Source organism: Homo sapiens, chromosome 6, assembly GCF_000001405.40.
Source record: "Homo sapiens chromosome 6, GRCh38.p14 Primary Assembly".
NCBI classification, from domain to species: domain Eukaryota; kingdom Metazoa; phylum Chordata; class Mammalia; order Primates; family Hominidae; genus Homo; species Homo sapiens.
In genome coordinates, this window is record NC_000006.12 from 74122464 (window position 1) to 74143434 (window position 20971).

At 36.3% G+C, this 20971-nt stretch overlaps 1 long non-coding RNA gene across 1 annotated transcript in view, besides 1 other annotated feature; it reads left to right on the forward strand.

Annotated features, from left to right (window-relative positions):
* Positions 1-20971, forward strand: part of LOC101928516 (uncharacterized) — a 621277-nt gene that overhangs the window by 53013 nt on the left and 547293 nt on the right. The gene's annotated exons all lie outside the window — the stretch shown is intronic.
* Positions 9726-9895: an enhancer, noted in NCBI's record as "experimental_94479 CRE fragment used in MPRA reporter constructs". NCBI's record gives its function as "activates a minimal promoter by MPRAs in K562 erythroleukemia cells, with activity observed for the non-introgressed 6:74841990 variant allele {active_cell/tissue: K562}" and the evidence as "EXISTENCE:reporter gene assay evidence [ECO:0000049][PMID:34662402]".

Genomic DNA, 20971 nt, shown 5'->3' on the forward strand with positions numbered 1-20971 from the left:
GGTTGTCTTTGATGTCGTTCTCTGAAGTCCCTTTGCCCAACTTGGGTGCCCTGCTAGTGGGCCCATGTGTTTGACATCATGCTCTTGGTCTGTCATCCACTTATACCTGTTCTCTCCAGTCTTTGTTTTTGTATGCAGCTACTTATAACTCTCACAAGTGACAGTATAAGAGGAAACAGTTGAACTGTAGATGCACACAAATATATTTGCTTTACTCATGGTATAGATTGAAAAGATGTTCATCTCTCTTCAGGATGCTCTTTATAAATTAGTATTTGGGCATCTGCTTTTATATGTATACACTATCTTCACATCCATCCACCTGAGTTCTACACTCAGCTGAAAGATGGAAATTCATCACAGTTCTGATAATTCTACAGCCTAAAATTCAAGTTCTGATATAATCTGATCCCAAGCTAATATTCCCATAAAAGGCCCGAAATCCTTTTTGGAACAAGATAAGACATACATAAATGAACAGATGATTTACCAGTATTTATTTACAAGGGCCTCTTTATCATACCTAGGATATGGTCAGCTCCTTTCTATTTTTCCAACTGTTTTTTTTTTTTTTTTTTTTTTTTGTCACAATGCCCTGCTACAATGCCCACCTCCTTCTTTGTGCTTTTAAGAACTCGGTTCAAATTCACCTCCTTCAAGCATTTTTCTTACTGCCCCAAGCCATTATGACTCTTCATGTGCTACAAATCTCTATGTTGACTGTAACCTTTGCCCTTGTGCCTCTGCTTCCTATCACTCTGAAGTTTTAATGAGTCTGTTGTCACTTTGTCCAGAAATTACTGGGCCATGATGAATTTTTATTTTTAATTTATTTTATCAAGCGGGTCAGACCTTTGAGTGTTGGTGGTATATTATTCATTCTCTGCTGATGTATTTTACCTTGTATCACTTGTGTTAAGGTCTTTGTCATCTCAAACTGGAAGGTCAGCAAGCACTACACTACAGTTGCATTCCCCTGCTTTCCATTATTCCAGAACTTTTTTTCAGAGACGTGGCCATGATAGGTCTTACAGTTGTTGCATAAATCCCTTGGCTTCTACCAATCTGCACAATCACCATGTTGAAAAATGTTAATAATAGACTTAGATTGCTGAAAGGAGCCATACACAGATACCACTTGGGTAAATAAAATTAGGTTTAATTATCTAAAATAAACATAAGGACATTAGCTCAATAAGAGTACACAATAGAGAAATCACAACATTGTTTAATGACAGGTAAAAGTCTACGCTTATGGAACTCTCAAACTGGACCTACCAGTGGAACACAGTTGCATATGTTGTTTGAGTGAGCAGGGATCACAGCAGATCTCATAAATTTCAGAGTTGCACAATGTACAGTATGACTGCAAAGGTATGGAGCACTGTGCATCCAGTACACTCAGCCCTGAACATCTTATCTATCATTCCCAACGTCCCCAGCTATCCCAGCGTGGGACAAACATATTTCTAACTTAATTTCTGTGGAGCTATGACAAGAATCTATTATCCAGGTGTTTCTGGGAATCTGGAATTTGGCAGGCCTTTAGAACTGCCAGTGGGCCCATGGTGTGTAAGATTTATATTCCTGTAGCAATTTCTGTATGTACCTTTTCCTTTGTCACTCAGCTTTTGTTCTGTTACAGTATCATCTATATTTTTGTTAAGATCTATAGGATCAAATAAATAATACATTTTAATACATTTTACATCCACAATGCTTAACTCACCATATTGCACTTAAAAATATCATTTTGTTAGACATTGGTTGTATACTTACTGAGTTTCAGGCATTATAATAAAGACTGGAAATACAAATGGACTAAACTTTGGTTTCTGGCTTGGAAGAATTCAGCATTTTAGCCAGCCTTGTGCAGCCATGAAGGTGTATTTCTTAGTTCTTCCTTTTAGGGAGAAGCTGCTTTTCCATGCAGTTCTGACTATTCTCATGTTTTTGGTTCAACTGAGGTGAGTCAAGCTCTCCCCAGGCAGCTCCCTGTCAATTACTGAACATAATGAAGATGCCAGGCCTGATCATTTTTTTACCCAAAGCAGGACTGCTCCACTAGTAATTCTTGTGCTGGACTCCCCTGTGTCCTGCCCAAGACTTTCTTAGTGCTGCCCTGCACTTCCTACCCAATCCTGCCTTTTTCTCTTTCTTCTTGTTTCACAGGTGTCAGATCTGCATCATGGAATAAAGGCTTTCCCTGCTATTCTTGTTCCTTCTTTTCTTATGTTTCTTAAGCTTTACCCTTAACAAATTTCTTATACTTCATCTTGGCATGTACTTTCAGATTTCCTGAGCTGATAACACACAGACACACACAACAATTATTTTAAAACGTGATAATTGTTATAGTCAGGAATGTGTGCAAGCTATTATAGGAAACTTTTCTTGCCTTCCACAGAGACCTAGATAATTTTTTCCTTATGTGTTCTATTTTACCTTTTATAAGCTCTGCCTTTATCATAGAACATCTTATTGTTTTATAATTGCTTGCTTGTATGCTTGTCACTCCATTAGACTGTGAACTCCTGTGAATGAAAATTATATTTAATCTTTATGTACTAAAGGGTCTTTTATCAAGCTCAGTGGTGCCAAAAAATGCTTGTTGAGGAATGCATAGGACTTTGAGGAAAGCATCACAGAGGAGGAATCAGTTATCTGGATTTTGAAGAATGAGCAGGTTCTTTTCAAGTGAACAAGGGGAAGGATAAATATCTGATGGAAGGATCATCATCTAGAATCATATGCTAGGCACAGAGAGGTATGAACAAATGTATTCAGGAAGGCACAAGTCCCTTAGGCTAGAGCTTAGTGTGTTTGGGGATGTTGAGGAATGGGAGATGGTGACGGGAAGATAAGTTAATCTTGCATAACATATATAATTGCTGAATGTTTGTATTTAAAATCCACGTATGTCACTCCTCAAAATATGTTATTTAAGGAATTGCATGTGGTGTGTGCATAGTAAGATGAGGCAAGGTGACTGAAATAAAAAGTTTCTGGCCGTACAGTCATCCCTTGGTCTCCATGGATGATTGATTCTAGAACCTCCTGCAGATACCATAATCCATGAATGCTCCAGTTCCAGATACAAAATGGTGTAGTATTTGCACAGAGCCTGTAGACATCCTCCTGTATATTTTAAATAATATCTAGACTACATATAATACCTAATACAATGTAAGTGCTATGTAAATAGTTGTTATACTGTATTGTTTAGGGAATAATAGCAAGGGAAAATTCTGTACGTGTTTAGTACAGACACAATATTTTTGACTGTTTTTGAACCATGATTGGTTGAATCCGCAGATGTTGAATTCACAAATACAGAGAGCCAGCTGTATTTCAGTTTGATGAAGAACAGAAAAAAATTATGACAGAAAAATTATTTGTGATTATGAATGTTTCAGCTTTCTATAAAGAGATCAAGAGAAAAAATAAATTTGTTTTCTTGTGATGCCGTAGCAATGCAAATACGTTCTCCAGACTCATAACCTCAGGACTATTTCTATTTATTCTTCTTTGGCACATAAATCCTACTGTATGTTAAATATTTCTGGATTTTCCTCTGGAATAATTCAGGAGTCATTCCTTTCTATCCATATCTATAGCATCACGCTTCTGCACGCAGTACAAGCTTCCTGTCAAGTTTCTATCTGAGTCTCAACATCTCTAATTCAAGCGTTGCAAACCTTTACTTACAATTGCAAGAAAAACCTATCACATCTCATTATTCCGTAAACAATATGATGTAACAACTATTTACATAGCCTTTATATTGAATTAGGTATTATAAGTAATCTAAATATTATTTAAAGTATACAGGAGGATGTGTATATATTATATGCAAGTATGACATCATTTTGTATCTGGAACTGGAGCATTCATGGATTTTGGTCCCTGCAGGTATCTGCATTTATTACATTGCTTTCTTAGGAAGGCATGATTTTGTTTGTTATTAGTTATGACATATATAAAAGTCTCAAGCCTGGCCTTCAAGATCCTCTAATTTCTACTTCCGTGAATCAACATCTAACCAGCCTCATCTCTTGGTACTTCCGAACAGGGCCAACGATATCCCTCAGTTGTTTTCTATACAATACACTTTTTTAGCCTTTCTTATGATATTTTCCCTTATTTGGAAGTCGTTTTCATTTTTATTATACTAATATATTTTCTTATTTCCACACCCACCTTTACTCTGAGTTCACTCAGGTTTGTGTGTGTATATATACACACAAACAAACATACACATAAAATATATATGGGCATAGATAACATGTTTATATTTATTCTCACTTATTTTATTCATGTATGTTTTATTTCTCTTTCTTAGATTAGGAAAATACTGAGTCTTTTAAGTCTTTCGAATGTGTCTGCTAATAGTCCCTGTTTTAAATTCTACAAGCTATTAAATAGGAAATAAGTGGAGGAATAAAATGCACATCCCTCTGATAATGTATTTCAAACCTTGATTGCCATTAACTCCCTCTTTCAATCACCTACTGTCTAGATTTCAGCCTTTTCCTTCCCCTGCAGATCTCAAAGGCAGTAATTCTTAACTTCAGATGGGAGGATGAGGAAGAGAGGAGTGATATAGAGAATGGTTATGGATAGCACTACACAGGAGACCATACTGTAATCAAGGAAAGGCATATATCACTTGAAGACATTTTCTCAGAATTATTATTTTCTCCCTTCAAGACGTATCTCTTCTTTTTACCTTGACAAAAATCACTAATCACCAAATTATGGTATTCCTGAGACTACTCTGCAACTGGGTTTATTTGATTTATTTCATTACATTTTCATATATAAAATGTTAGATCTAGTTGAATTTTTTGAACACAGCCATAAGCTAGAACTAGTCAATGCAAGTAATTAGACAAACATCAGAGAAGGGAAGCAATTGTCTTTTTAAAATTCACCATAAGATTGATAGCTAATATTAAGTAATTTGATTCGAGTGTCATATGTATCAACCAGCAAATATTATAAAACCACTGCACTGAGGCAAGACTCTTGTCTTCTCTTAGCTCTGCCATCGTCTTTGTGGACATGGGCCCTTAGGCTTCATTGCTTCATGAGGGTAAGGTGTTTTACCTACTTACAGTTCTAATATTCTCTTTAAATTCCTGCTGGGCGCCAGGCATGGTGCAAAATGAGTAAGTGTAGAAGACTTGCTTTCTGCTTTCAAGGAGGTAGAGAATCTTAGAGAAACAATACCATGGGTGCAAACATCTTCCTTGAAAGTTATCTATAACAATTTACAAATTTACAAAGAATGTAAATATACTGTCAACAACTTCTCAGAAGAGAATATTTTTCTTAAGAAAACCCCAGAGATATCAAACCTTCAAAAGTTCATGAGATCAGTTATGTTGTAAAAAGAAGTTAAAGTTGTAATACGGCAAATATTTAAAAATCTTCATTAAGATGGGAAACAAAAACCTAACACCATCATCTCTAAAAAATCTGTACTTTCTCTTTTCTTCCTGCCATGTCACATATATTAACAATTCTGTGTCTATGAGGAAGAGAGGCAAAGAGAAGGGAAGTGTAGCTGAAGGAAGCCTGTTGTGTCTCTGGAATTGGCTTCCTTCCATGAGCTACTTTATTGAGCACCTCCAGATATTATGTTTCCAAAGGGCAAAATTTTGTCTTTTTCATCTTCATTTCCTCAGAGTTCCTAGCAAAGGTTATAGAGTCAGTAATTATTTGTTGCCCAGCAGATGAATTGAAATGATTTGAGAATTATATCTCACATTTATTAGGCAACTTCTTAAGTAATGCCATATTTTTAGATAGTCGCCTCCTCCCGTTCTTTCAATGGTGTTCTCTTCTCATCATTTCCAAATTCCTACTTTTTTCTGTGTTTGGTTAGGGGCACCTAAGGTGCTTGAACAAAGAAATTGAAGTGTTCAGTGGCTGAGAGACTATGACTTATTGTTTCTAACCTTCTTTGAGGTAAGTGCTAACCTTCTCTGAGGTTGGTAGTAGGCTGTCCTCCATGTAAGTATTTTGGGAGCCAGGTTAATAATGTGGCATTACCGTTGTCAACAAGTCACATTCAAGGCTCCTTAGCACAAGGCTCTTCAGTGCTTAAAAGAATGGAGGAGGACCTTGAGCCAGATGAGAGGGAGAAGAACAGAAATCTGGGGCCAGGGAATTATGCTTAAACAAGTTAAACACATAATGTATGCTCCAGTCCCATGGTGAAGCTGTTAATCATAGCCTACACTTAGAGCATGGGGGCTGGGGAGCTCAGTTTCTTGCTGGGCAGTGATGTCACAACTACAACTTTTTTACAGTGGAAGAAGGAAGAATCTTATTTTCATTTTTGCTGGACAGCTGGCAGCCTCTGCTGGATTTTCTTTTCTTGCCGGCAATTTGCTGTATTTTAATAGCAAATATAAAATTTATGGACTCAGGCTCTAGAAAACATTTTAAAGAATATGTATATTTTATATTTTTCCTCTAGGCACTAATTTCCTTGTCCTCACAGTGGTTTTGTTCTAATGAGAACCCTACTCAGGGGTAGTGATATTACTCAGGTAAAAGATATTCCTATCCTGTCTCAGTTACTCTGATATGTTCGGGGAATCTAGAGTTTATTTCTAAGATCTTGTTATTTGTTAGTTTTACAATAACAGAATCTTATATTTCTGTTGCCAAATTGTCAGAAAATTTCTTATCAGTGGTCTAAACCAAATAATGCAAAGTGCTTAAAATAATGGAGGAGTGCCCTGAGGTAAATTTTAAAGCAAATATAATTATTGCATCCATTAGTATAATTAGAGTCTTTGGTTTGAAATACATTCCTTGTGCAGTTTGCTGTTAAGTAATTGCTGCGATATACTATTTTGTTGCCTGTTGGAATTTAGTAAGTAAGAGTTTTTCCCAGGTTTTGTATTTTGAATTATAATCTCTAACATATATTCTTTAATAACTGTAAAGTTAGCTAGGGCTTATAAAAGGTCAGCTATGAGTATTTATACAAATTTGCCTCAAGAAGAATGGCTAAATATGAGAGAGATAAACCTATAACAATTAGGATGATTTTTTGATTTCTCTTTATACTTTCCTCTATATGTACTTCCACCGAACCACTGAGGATACTGCAACTCCATTTCCTTGGCAAAATAATTTCAAAGAGTGTTGAAATGAAAATCACTTATGTTTTAATGACTCTGACTGTCAACAGCTGACCTTCTGTTAGTAGCAGAGAACACTGTACTTGCACAAAGAGGGGAGTATAAAACAATTCCTTGAATTGTATAACCTTAGGGTCATCTGAGTTATTAGTTGCTAATTTTAGAGATGCTGAAAAGTATAGAAGAAAGTACAGAAGTTTTTTTTTTTTTCATGGACTGTCTTTTTGTGAATTGTAGAGGAAAACTATGATTTCTACATAGTAGATCAGAAGGATTTTAATTACTTTTCTTCTTAATATATATTTTGGTCCAGAACAACTATCTGTCATTACAGAATTATAGAAAAAAGATGCCATGGTAAATACTTTCTCTATTAATTGCCTAAAGGTCATGATTAAAAATCTAGGGATTTTTAGACCAGGGCTAGTTTGATGTGATTGGTGTCATAGAACCTGAGAAAGGATTTGCAGAGGTCTATGTGGGTAGAGAAAGTATTGTGGGGAAATCGTCATCATCATCATCATCATCATCGAGTGCTCATATTTCAAGTAAGGAGAGGAGAGTGATAAAATGGCAATGGACAATCTTTGAGGAAACAATTTAAATTCCTCTAATTTCCATTTAACCAGAATGGAAAAGTCTAAAAATTCAAATATTTAGTTCTTAGGATTTTCACTTTGAAGTTTACCTTTAACTGTTTTTATTCTATTAATCCCAGGTGAAACAATGTTTTTTTCTTGAAACTCCATATTTAAGAGTTTTTAAAAAGAAAAACAATGATAGAATGACAAGAGAAGTTCTCTTCTCTAATATTTTCATCGTTGCATTAAAGAAATTTGCAGTAGGATGGTGGGGATTTATAAAAGGAACATCCTACTGAAAAGGTCAGCTGTTTTCCCCTTGTGGAGGTATCAAGGAGGGAAAGTGAAGGAAGAACGCTTTCCCCAAAGTTTGAGGAGAATGTGCTATCCTGCCCTTTATCAAGGAGGTAAAGTGGAGGAAGAACGCTTACCCCAAAGTTTGAGGAGAATGCGCTATCCTGCCCTTTTTATACTTTGGCTTTGTATTTATTTAGTCTCTGTGGTCCTGAGGAAGGTGATTTGGTTTCATCCTCACATGGTGAGCCACACAGGCTGCCAGCCCCACTTGGGGATTTTGCAGGATGTCATTTCATGTTGAGTGCATGGACGGTGTCCAAAGGTAGAAATGAGCTGATACATTTTATTATAGGATGTTGCTTCTAAAAAGTGTTTATTCCTAATAGTCCTTTGTCAAGGCAGAATATAGTGTATGGAAAAACTGAAAGTTCCAGGGGAAGTGGAAAGGATCACCACCTGCAGAGTCAGATATTCACTTCTGGTAACTCTGTGGACCTTTGGCAGGGGGCTTCAGAAGAGGAGATGCTGTTCCTGGAAGAAGCAAAGAATTGGGGCCTATGGCTGTATATTCTTTACATTTTTATTTTTAGAATGCAAAATTTATTTTATGAATTAAAAATTACACACATAAAAGGTACCATTATGTTATCTTCTTTAGTTGAAGATAATATTTCTTTTTTGAAATGATATGTCTCTTCATGGTTTTGATTTGCATTTCTCTAATGATCAGTGATGTTGAGCTTTTATGTTTCTTGGCCACATGAATATCTTCTTTTGAAAAGTGTCTGTTCATGTTCTTTGCCCACTTTTTAATGTGATAGTTTGCTTTTTTGGTGTAAATTTTTTTAAGTTCCTTACATATGCTGACTATCAGACCTTGGTCAGATGCATAGTTTGCAAACATTTTCTCCCATTTTGTAGGTTGTCTGTTCACTCTGTTGGTAGTTTCTTTTGCTGTGCAGAAGCTCTTTAGTTTAATTAGATCTCATTTGTCAATTTTTGCTTTGGTTGCAATTGCAAAAGTTCAGAATGCTCATTCAGACCCATGAAATGTATTCCAAGTACCGCTATAAGGAGGGCGAGAGCATAGATAATCCAATCAAAATCACTATATCTTCTTGGGTTGTTATAAATATGTAAAGTAATCATGACAGAGTCCAGAAGTAGTGTGGTCCTGACTGATTTTCACCAACCCTGTTAAATTTGGTTCTATAAGAAAAATATTATGTTTCTATAAGGATCATGTCTCTTAAATTCAGGCCTAGATAAGCTGCCTTACTTGAGGTAAATTTTTGGATTTAATGTTTAAAGATTTCCCAGGGCCTATATGAAAGAAAAACGAATTGGACAACTCCAGGTTTGACTTCATTCTACTTCTCCAAATGTATTATCCATTTAATTAGGGACCAGATCTTTAATCTGGTAGTGAGGTACTTGGCAACTTTAAGAGTTGATTGAGTTATTATAGTAAATGGGTTGGAGTAGAGCTTAGTTACAAAGAGTACACATAATTTTTGTCAATGACAATTATATTTTTATGTTTCATCTCCTTGAATCTTGAAATTAAAACCAATTTATAAACAAACAGTAAAAACAGCATATTTGACCTTTTCTTAAATTTATTTATGAGGCTTTATTACTGCCTGAGAGTACTTTGGGTTTTTTCAAAATTATTTGTTATTTGTTCAAATGGATTCTAATAAGTACAATATATTGTCCAGATACTACAGAAGACATAGAGCAGTTTTGAATAAAATGATGTTCCTTTGGAAATGCTTCATGGGAGCCATTGGAATCTTTGCCAGAAATGCAGAGTGACACCAATTGAACATCCTTAGAACTTGCTATGGTCTGAATGTTTATATTTGTTCAAACTTCATATGTTGAAATCCTCATCCTAACAGTGATGGTATCAGGAGGTGGGGCCTTTTGACAGGTGGCTAGGCCATCATGGTAGAGCCCTCATGAATGGGTTTAGTGCTCTTATAAAATAAGCCCAAGGAGCTCATTGGCCAATTCCACCATGTAAAAGATGCAGCAGGAAGATGCCATTAATGAGAAATGACCCTCACCAACACTGAACCTGCCAATACCTTATCTTGGACATCCCTGTCTCTCCAGAACTGTGATAAATAAATTTCTGTTGTTTATTAGCTACCTAGTTTATGGTATTTGGTTATGGTTATAGCAACCTGAATACACTAAGACAGAACTTCAGCAGTGGATTCCAAGGAATTTACTGGGGGATTTTTTCTACCCTAATTTAAGTCCTAGGTAAGGGAAGAAAAATGTAAATAACAGACATTTTATTGATAGAAATGCCAGAAAAAAGTTCTGCCTTATAGGGGACTCAGTGATAAACTGGATTTGAGAGATCTAGGGGGACATAAGTGTACCAATTGGACACTTCACATGCACTATTGACATCCTCTCAGCCTCATCTTATAGTCTGACCAAGGCTATAATGACCAGTTCTGGACTGGCTTTGAATAGTTTTGAGCAGATGTATCCTGACATAGGCTCACTCTAGGAATGTATTGTGAGTCCCTCTTTTCTTGCCCTGATGTTTGGGGTCCCATAGGAATCACCTGGCACTCAAGCATGGACAACCACAAGGAAGTGTGGGACAGTTTACACCCAGCAAGTCAGCCAGCTCTTGACCAATGGATACAGGAGCCTAGACATAAATGCTTCCATCTTCCTTCATGAGATATGTCCTATAAGGCAGGGGTCTCTAGCCACCAGGCTGCGGACTGGTACTGGTCTGGTCTGTGGCCTGTTAGAAACTGGGCCACACAGCAGGTGGGGCAGAGGGCACACAGTAGGAGGTGGGGGTAAGCAAGCATTACCACCTGAGCTCCACCTCCTGTAAGCTCAGCAGTGGCATTAGATTCTCATAGGAGCTGGAAACCTATTGTGAACTGCACATGCAAGGGATTTAGATTGAGCACTCCTTATGAGAATCTAACTAATGCCTGATGGTCTGAGGTAGAACAGTTTCATCTTGAAACCATCCCCCCCCACCACGCCCTTTGATGGAAAAATTTTCTTCCATGAAACAAGTCACCGGTGCAAAAAAGGTTGAGGTTCACTGCATAAGGCTTCTAGAAAGTCTGTTAGTTTTTCACAGTTGTATAACAACTTGGAAAAACTTGTTGTATTGACTCTCTTCTTCCACATATACTGCTGTCCCCCACCCTTGCTTTCTGGGATCATGTTCCTCAATATAGCATGCATACATCAATCTTTTTCTCAAGATGCACTTTCAGAGGATCTCAGGGAAAAATTCTATAAATCAATACTAAAAGACAACTAGCACACTAGAAAAATAGGCACATTATATAAACTAGCAGTTTAACAAAAATTATAACTTTTACAAAAATAAGAATGTAAATACAACTTTCAATCATTACAAATAGAAATTAGAACAAAAATTAAATAAAATTCTAACTTATTAGAATAGCAAATTAAAATTGATAACTTTATTGTAGTGAATGTTTGAGGAAACAGTCTCCAACTTGGTGGAGATATCACATTGCAGGTTAATTTGATATCATCTTTTTGGAAATAAATTCTCTGTGAATATTCTCACATTTCTGCATGATTTGGGATTTCTGAGCAAGGGACATGTTTTCATACAAAGGTCTTGAAAACTAGAGACTGTGAATTGCTCCAGAGGGTTGTAGAAACTTACCTCCTATGGACAAATAGTCAGTTACTTTCCAGGGTTGTCAGATTTCTCTCTTTCTCTCATTCTCTCTTTCTCTGTGTACATAAGGGGAGATACATGCAGATATACCAGCTACTCTATATGAACTATTAGTCTCATAATTTCAGGGATCTTCTGTGGTGCAAACTCTGCCCCACATATAGGTTGATATTGTGTCCTCATTGCATTGCCCTGTGAGGAATTGGGGCATGGGGAACTCATGCAAGATATTACTCTTGCTGTTCTTTTTGCTGTAATACATGATTTGTTCTCTGGTCCAGATGTCTGGTGTTTCTGTCAGTACATATACATATACATACACATATGCATATACATATGCATGCACAGACATACACACACTCATAACCATGGCAGACTAACTTGTAAGTAAAATAAATATCTTTAACTCATGGGACTTCTGAACATAATGTATTTCTCAAAAGTAAAGGTGAGCATAACATTTTTACATAGTTTTAAATCTCTAGACATTTATTTTACATACATATTCACACATCATGTTGCACATAATGTAATAAAACTGACATCAGTAAAAAGAGGAACATTTGAAACTATACAAATACATGGATATTAAACACCTTCTTAAAAACCAATGGGTGAGAGAAGAAATTAAGAATGAAATAAAAAATTTGAAACGAATGAGAAGAGAAACACTGCATACAGAACCTATGAGACACAGCAAAAGCAGTATTAAGAGACAAGTTTATAGCAATAAATGCTTACATCAAAAAACTAGAAAGATTTCAAATAAACAACCTAATGATGCACTTCAAAGAACCAGAAACAAACCAAACCCTAAAATAGTAGAAGGAAAGAATTATGAAGATTAGAGCCAAAATAAAAAATATATCACAAACCCACAGCAAATATCTGAATGGGGAAGAGGTGAAAGCTTTTCTTCTAAGGACTGGAACACAAAAAAGGATGCCCGCTTTCACCACTCATATTCAACATAGCACTGGAAGTCCTAGCCAGAGCAATTAGGCAAGAAAAAGAAATAAAAGACATCCAAATCAGAAAGGAGGAAGTCAAAATGTCTGTGTTTGCAGATAATAGGATTTTATATATAGAAAAACCTAAAGACTCTACCAAAATAAGCTCTTAGAAAAGATAAACAAATGCAGTCAAGTTACAGCAGAATACAAAATCAGTATCCAAAATCAGCATTATTTTTCTGATACAATACTTATACAAAATCAGTATTGTAAATAAATAACAACCAAAACAAGAAACCAAGAAGGCAATCCCACTTATGACAGCCATACACACACACACACACACACAAAACCGAGGAATAAATTTAACCAAGGAGATGAAAGGCTTCTACAAGGAAAACTGCAAAACACTGGTGAAAGAAATTGAAGAAGATACAAACAAATGAAAATAAATCACATGTTCATAGATCAGAAGAATTAATATTGTTAAAATAACAATACTCCCCAAATAAATCTACAGATTCAATGCAATCCCTGTCAAAATACCAGTGACATTCTTCACAGAAATAGAAAAAAAATCTTAAAATATGTATGGAACCACATAAGACCCCAATAGCTAAAGAAATCCTGAGCAGAAAGAACAAAGCAGAAGGCATCACACTATTAGATTTCAGAATGTATCACAAAGCTGTATTAACTAAAATAGCATGGTACTGGCATAAAAACAGACACATAAAACAATGAAACAGAATAGGGAACCCAGAAATTAACCCACCTATCTATAGCCAATTTATTTTTGACAAAGGTGCCAAGACCGCTCACTGGGGAAAGGAGAGTCTCTTCAGTAAATGGTGCCAGGGAAATTGGTATCCATATGCAGAAGAATGAAACTGGACCCCCACCTCTCACACTGTACAATAAAACTATTAGAAGAAAATGTGGAGGAAATGCTTCAAGACATTGGTCTGGGATAAGATTTTATGAATAAGAGTTTAAAACCACTGGCAACAAAAGTAAAAATAAACCACTGGGATTATATCAAACTGAAAAGCTGCACAGCAAAATAATCAATAGAGTGAAAAAAGGCTACCTATAGAGTGGAAGAAAATATTTGCAAACTACTCATTTGAGAGGGATAAATATCTAGAATATACAAGGAATGGAAACATCTCAACAGCAAAAAAAAAAAATGGGATTAAAAATGGACAAATTATCTGAATGGACATTTCTCCAAATAAGATATGCAATTATCCAATAAATATATAAAAATGCTCAGCATTGCTAATCTTCTGAGACATGCAAATCAGAAATGAAGTATCATCTCACCGCAGTTATGATGGCTATTAAGATGGAGAGAAAAGAGAACTCATACACTGTTGCTGGGAACGTAAAATAGTATAGCCACTATGAAGAATAATATGGAGATTCCCCAACAAACTCAAATAGAACTACTATATGTTGCAGAAATTCCACTACTGGGCATTTATGCAAATGAAAGGAAATTAGTATGCTGATTATACATCTGCCCTCTTGTGTCTATTGTAGCACTATTTGCAAAAACCAAGATATGGAATCAACCTAGATTTCCTACAACAGGTGACTGGATAAAGAAAGTGTGGTATGTATATTAAAGGGAACACTATTCAACCATAAAAAGAATGAAATCCTGTCATTTGTGGCAACATGGATGTTAATAGAGGACACTAAGTTAAGTAAAATAAGCCAGCAACAGAAAGTTAAAAACTGCATGGTCTCACTCAAATGTGGAAACTAAAAACGTTGATCTCATAGAAGTGAAAAGTAGAAAAGAAGATATTAGAGGCTGGGAAGGATAGGGGAAAGGGAGTAATAGGGAGAGATTTTCTAAAGGATATAAAATTACAGCTATATAGGAGGAATAAGTTCTGCTGTTCTGCAGCACTATAGAGTGACTTAGTTAAAAATGCAGTTAATAATATATAGTATCAAATAGCTAGAGGGAAGATATTGAATGCTCCCAATACAAAGAATTGATAAATGTTTGAGATGATGGTTTTGCTAATTACCCTGATTTCATCACCATGCATTATGTGTATCAATACATCACTATGTACCACATGAATATGTACAATTATTTATCAGTAAAATAAGTGGTACATGAGAACAATAAAATCTTATATTGTCATTAAAAAGAATAAGGCAAATGTACCTATTATGAAATTATGAGAAATATTATACAATGAGAAAAGCAATATATATATTTGAATGTACTAACATATATTTATACATGAATAGAATATCTCTTGAAATATAAAGAAAATTTTGGCTACCTGGATTGCCTCTGGAGAGGATAACCAGGTAACTGAGAGATAAATGTGGACAAGATTTTTTCCTTATTTTTTACTATATACATTTATACTCATTTTGAATTTTATAGTATTTATATATAAGGCTATTCACATAATATAATTTAATTATGAACTAACTTTATGAATATGTTACCACTTTAATGGCTGCATTGTATTCTATGTATTTTATGCTAGATTGATCAGTTTCCTGTTGAAAGTTAGCTTTTACTTAGTATGTCTACTTTATGAAAATTTGTGTTGATTTCCCTATAATCTTTTGTAATTATTTTTGAAGGGAAAGAATAACTAGATGTTTGTATCAGTTAGGGTTCAGCCCAGGAAATAGAAAACATTCCAGGAATTTCAAAGAGGAAAATATTTAGTAGAGGGAACTGAGTTCTTACAAATATCACTGGAAGGGTGGAGGAGTGGAAGTCATGAGAGTCACAATCAAGCTATTGTTTTAAGGTCAAATTTAGATGGAGGAAATCCACAGGTTAGGAAGCTGCTGCTGCTTCTGATATCACCATTCCCATACTAAAATGTCTAGTGACCAGGAGATCGTGACTACATTCTGGAATGTGAACTCTGACCACTACAAAAACTCATGTGTTGGAAATTGCTAGTTAATTGTTCCAGCCACAAAAGAATGACATCTCCCTCGTGTTTTGTCTTCCAAATCTTGTGGTCATATGTTGCACTGGCAGAATCAAGATTGCATCACAAATCCTGGTTATTAGGAAGTCTGGGAAATGTAGTATTAGACTTCTTGCTCCTGCAACAAGTGTATGTGTGTAGAGCAGATCACAGGGGAAGGTAGAAACAAATGCCCAATATAAATAGGCATTCAGCAGAAGAGGACACCGATGCAGAGAAAAGGTAAGAAACTTTCACAAGAGAAAACCTGCTTCTCTATGATCACAGTGATCATAAAATAAATATTATGATGATAAAATGATGATTATGTGAGATAAATGCCTTGAAATCATTTTAACAACAGGTGAGTTAGACCTGTATGAAGAAACTATAGGGTTGGTGGTGCTAGATTTTGAAGCCAGGCAGCCCACACTCTGCATCAGTAAATTATCTTTAAAATCTGTTAGTCTTTTTCTTTAAATTTTCAAATGTTGCTGCCACTCTTGGACTGGCCCTCCCTGCCCCCAAATTATATATATTTTATTCCTATTTTCTTAGAGAATTTTATAGCTTATACATTAAAAATATTTCACTTATTCAGAAGTTAGTTTTGTATAAGGTAATATTGAAGCATATAAATGTATTTCTTCCTAGTTAGCCAGTTATGCCAACAACATTTGTTAAATAGTCTATTCTTTCTTGCATTGATTTGGAATACTCTTGATTGTAAATAGTTTTTCCATTTAGTATTATGGTATGCTTTACCATTTATTGACATTTTTTCTTATGTAAATTGGGAAACTATAATTTCTTCATATAGGTCTAACTCATCTGTTGTTAAAATGATTTCAAGGTATTTATCTCACATAATCATCATTATTTTATCATCATATTTTATGGTCACTGTGATGAGGCACTTTAAAAATTTATATTAATTATGTTATTAATCCTAGTTATTATTTACAGATCCTATTTTACTGTTGTGTAGATGATTTAAATAAATTACTTAGGGGCATAAGGTACTTAAAGGATGGAGTTTGGATTTGCAGTTTTCCCATTGTCCTGAATATATCCTTTATTTCATAATATTTTCTGATTGTTGTTCGTATTTCAGAAAGCTATTGACTTCAGATTATTTATTTTGAAACCTGCTTCTCTCTTTTATTGCCCAATTTTAAAGCCCCTTATACAATAAGAAACATCTTAAGAAATATAAGGAAAGCACATATAAATCCCAAAACAATAATGAGGAAAGCTTAAAATGAATCAGTTCTGGCTCTTGGCTGGAACAAGAGGCAAAAAGAATTGTGGAGTCAGAGCACAGCACTGGGAAACTGTAGCTGTCTCGGTCAGGAGTTAACAGACTGCTTAACCTTTACTATGACTAGCTACTTGTATCCAGAACCAGTCCTTTGACTGCGAGGATGTGTATAGGGGTACACACAAGGCTGGGTGCCTGCTCAGTATCCATTTGATATGGTTTGGCTCTGTGTCCCCACCTAAATCTCATCTTGAACTGTTATCCCCATAATTCCCACGTGTCGAGGGAGGGAACTTGTGGGATATGATTATATCATGGCAGCAGTTTCCCCATGCTGTTCTCATGATAGTAAGTTCTCACGATATCTGATGGTTATATAGGCATCTGGCATTCCCCCCTGCTTGCTCGTCTTTCTCCTGCCACCATGTGAAGAAAGTCCTTGCTTCCCCAATTTCCACCATGATTGTAAGTTTCCTGAGGCCTCTCCAGTCATGTGGAACTGTGAGTCAATTAAACTTCTTTCTTTTATAAGTTATCCACTCTTGGGTATTTCTTTATAGTGATGTGAAAACGGACTGATCCATCATTCTTCCCCTTTCCAACAGCACACAGTTTTGGAGAACTACCTTCCTCTATTGCATAGTAACTGACCAATTTTGGGGGGAAGCAGGGGATTGCCTTTATCCCAGCTCCCAGAGTGAGTCCTCACAGGCCTGAGCAAATCAGCCTAATCTGACACAGCTGCCATGACAACTGAATCAGTGACTAGTCCTAAGACTGTCAATTCATGTTACTTCCCTGGAAATTTTTTTTTTTTTTTTAAGATTGGGCCAAGCAGGGTGAAATAAAGAACTTCCCTTCTAAGGTGGGAGGAAAAGAAAATCTCTTTCTCTGAATGATGTGGGGTATAGATGTGAGGACTGGAAGTACTGCAGCCATTTGTAATCATGGAGGGAAACTAGGCTCAGGTTTAAAATGTTAATAGAAGACTTTGAAGGATTTAGAGAAAAATGGAGCAAATGCCCCGATAAACCATACCAGAATTCTCTTTGAATTTCCATGTTATGTGAGTAAATGAAATCCTTAATTGTTTGTGTCAGATTGAGTTGAATTTCCTGGTATGTGTAATAAAAACCAACCTTTTTGTTAAAGGGTAGAACAGAAGAAGTAGAGAAACCAGTACTCAGCCTATCCCTCAATAGATTTTTTTACTTATGTACATGTCTAAAATTCCTATCTTGAGAGATTCCTTAGTGTTAAACTATTGATCTAGACCAGCACTGTTTAATAGAACTTTCTGTGATGATAATGTTTTGTATCTGTGCTGCCAAATATGATATCCCCTGGTACATGTGACTGTTGGGCACTTGAAATGTTGCTACTGAGATGGAGGAAATGAATCTTCAATTTCATCAATTTCTTAATTTAAGTTTAATTTTAAATAGCTGCATGGTGTTAGTAGCTATTGTATTGGACAGAACAAATATAGATTGTTCTGTTTTTTTCTAACGTCCCTAGAAGAATAATAAATTGGTTTGCTATGGACCGAATTGTGTTCTCTCAAAATTCATGTTGAATCCCTAAGCCCCAATGTGATATATTTGGAGATGTGGCCTTTCAGGGGTAATTAGGTTAGATGAGATCCTGAGGGTGAGGCCCTCATGATGGGATTAGTGACCTTACAAGAAGAAGAGAGCAAGGGCTGACAGGCACTGAGGAAAGCCCATTTTAGGATACAATGAGCAGGTGGCCATCTATAGGCCAGGAAGAGAGCCCTCACCAGAACTTGACTATACTGGCACCCTGATCTTGGATGTACACCCTCCAGAATGGTAAAAAAAAAAAAAAAAAAAAAAAAAAAAAACTTCTGCTGTTTAAGCCACATGGTCTATGATACAATAGTTTCCACTTATCCATGGGCAATATGTTTCAAGACCTCTAGTGGATGACTAAAACCGTGGATAGTGCCAAACTCTCTATACACTATGCTTTTTCCTATACATGGATACCTATGATGAAGTTTAATTTATAGATTCCTGTAAGAGATGAACAACAATAATAACAAAATAGAAACATTATTTCAATATACTATAATTTATGTGAATGGGCTGGGCGCGGTGGCTCATGCCTGTAATCCCAGCACTTTGGGAGGCCGATCACAAGGTCAGGAGATCGAGACAATCCTGGCTAACATGGTGAAACCCCGTCTCTACTAAAAATACAAAAAAATTAGCCTGGTGTGGTGGCGGGCACCTGTAGTCCCAGCTACTCTGGAGGCTGAGGCAGGAGAATGGCGTGAACCCAGGAGGCGGAGGTTGCAGTGAGCCAAGATCGCACCACTGCACTCCAGCTTGGGTGACAGAGTGAGAATCCGTCTCAAAAAAAGTAATAATAAAATTTATGTAAATATATCTTTTTTCTCTGTGTCTCTCTTAAAATATCTTATTGTACTATACTCATCAATTTTCAGACTGCCATTACTGCTGGCAACAGAAATTGTGGAAAGCAAAACTTAGAGGGTATTAGAGGGGATTGCTGTAGTTATGGCAGCCTGAGCTGACTAATACATAGTCTCAGAAAATTTTAATATGAATTCTTAAAAGCTTCTTCTTGGAAAACTTAAACTTGAGCCTGAAACGAAGGGGGTTTGTTATGTTTGATAATTTGATATTTTTTGGTGGGAGGGTGATGGGGTCATATAGAGGAGACTCAGGATAGGGTAATACTTTCACCCTTTGTCCCAGTTGGAAATATCAACTTTTAAGGGTTCACTAGTCTTTGAAATTATTTTAAAATGGTAAGATAGGTGCCAATTTTTCTTGTTATAGGCAGTGTATTTTCTTATAGTTTCACCTCAATGGGAATATAAACAAAAGCAGTATAAATAAACATATCAGAAATTCCTTACAAACTCGGTAAATGATGTATTCCAGCTGTGTGTGTTTTGAAAACAGACCATATTACATCAATGAAACCCCAATTAAGAAATAAAATGGAAGTCTCATAACTCTCCTTCTTTTCTTCCTTTTTTTCTCTCCCTGTCTTTCATTTCAAAAATAATTGTTAAGAACTTAGAGCATAAAAGACACTGAGGTCACAGAAAGTAACAAGAAAGATATGGTCTCTTTCCTAACAGAGTCCCAGGGCTTGTGCAGGGGAGAGATAACAAGCAACCTAAATAACGCTGTAATATGAATTCTAATGCGGAAAGTATTATGGAAGTGTAGGACTGGGGCATTGAAACTGCTTGAGAGGACAGAAGGGAAACATCTCAGGAATAAGTAATAGCAAGTTGATACCTGAAGGAACCCTAGGAATAAGCACAGAAGAGGGTGCTGAGTTGGAGGAGGAAGTCAGAGAGAACAGAAAGTGTGAAGGCCAGGTGAGATAGAGTCTTGAGTAAACACAATGCCAGAATAGGGTGTGGTGGCAAACCAAAGTTTGTTATTGTTTAGATGGGGATGGGGAGATGCAAAGGTAAAGGTGATGGCCAAGCCAGACAAATTTCCCTGTGATTTCAGGGAGGAAGAGGAGAGAGAGGGAAGAGAGAATGAATGAATCAATGAATCATAGCATGTTACGTGGGGTATCTTTTTTTTTTTTTCTTTTGAGACAGAGTCTCACTCTGTCACCCAGGCTGGAGCGCAGTGGCACGATCTCAGCTTACTGCAACCTCCACCTCCCAGGCTCAAGTGATTCTCTTGCCTTAGTCTCCCAAGTAGCTGGGACTACAGGTGCATGCCACCATGCCCAGCTAATTTTTGTATTTTTTAGTAGAGACAGGGTTTCACCATGTTGGCTAGGCTGATCTCAAACTCCTGACCTTGTGATCGACCTGCCTTGGCCTCCCTAAGTGCTGGGATTACAGGTGTGAGCCACTGCGCCCAGCCTCATTTTTTGGTAACTCAGCATTATTTCCCATTTCACTTCTCTCCTCTGTATACTGGAACTGGAAACCTGGAAATACATTTTCCAAAATCCCTGTTAGCAAGGTTTCCATATAAATTCTGTCAGTGAGAGATACGGACATGAGATTTGGGAGTCAGG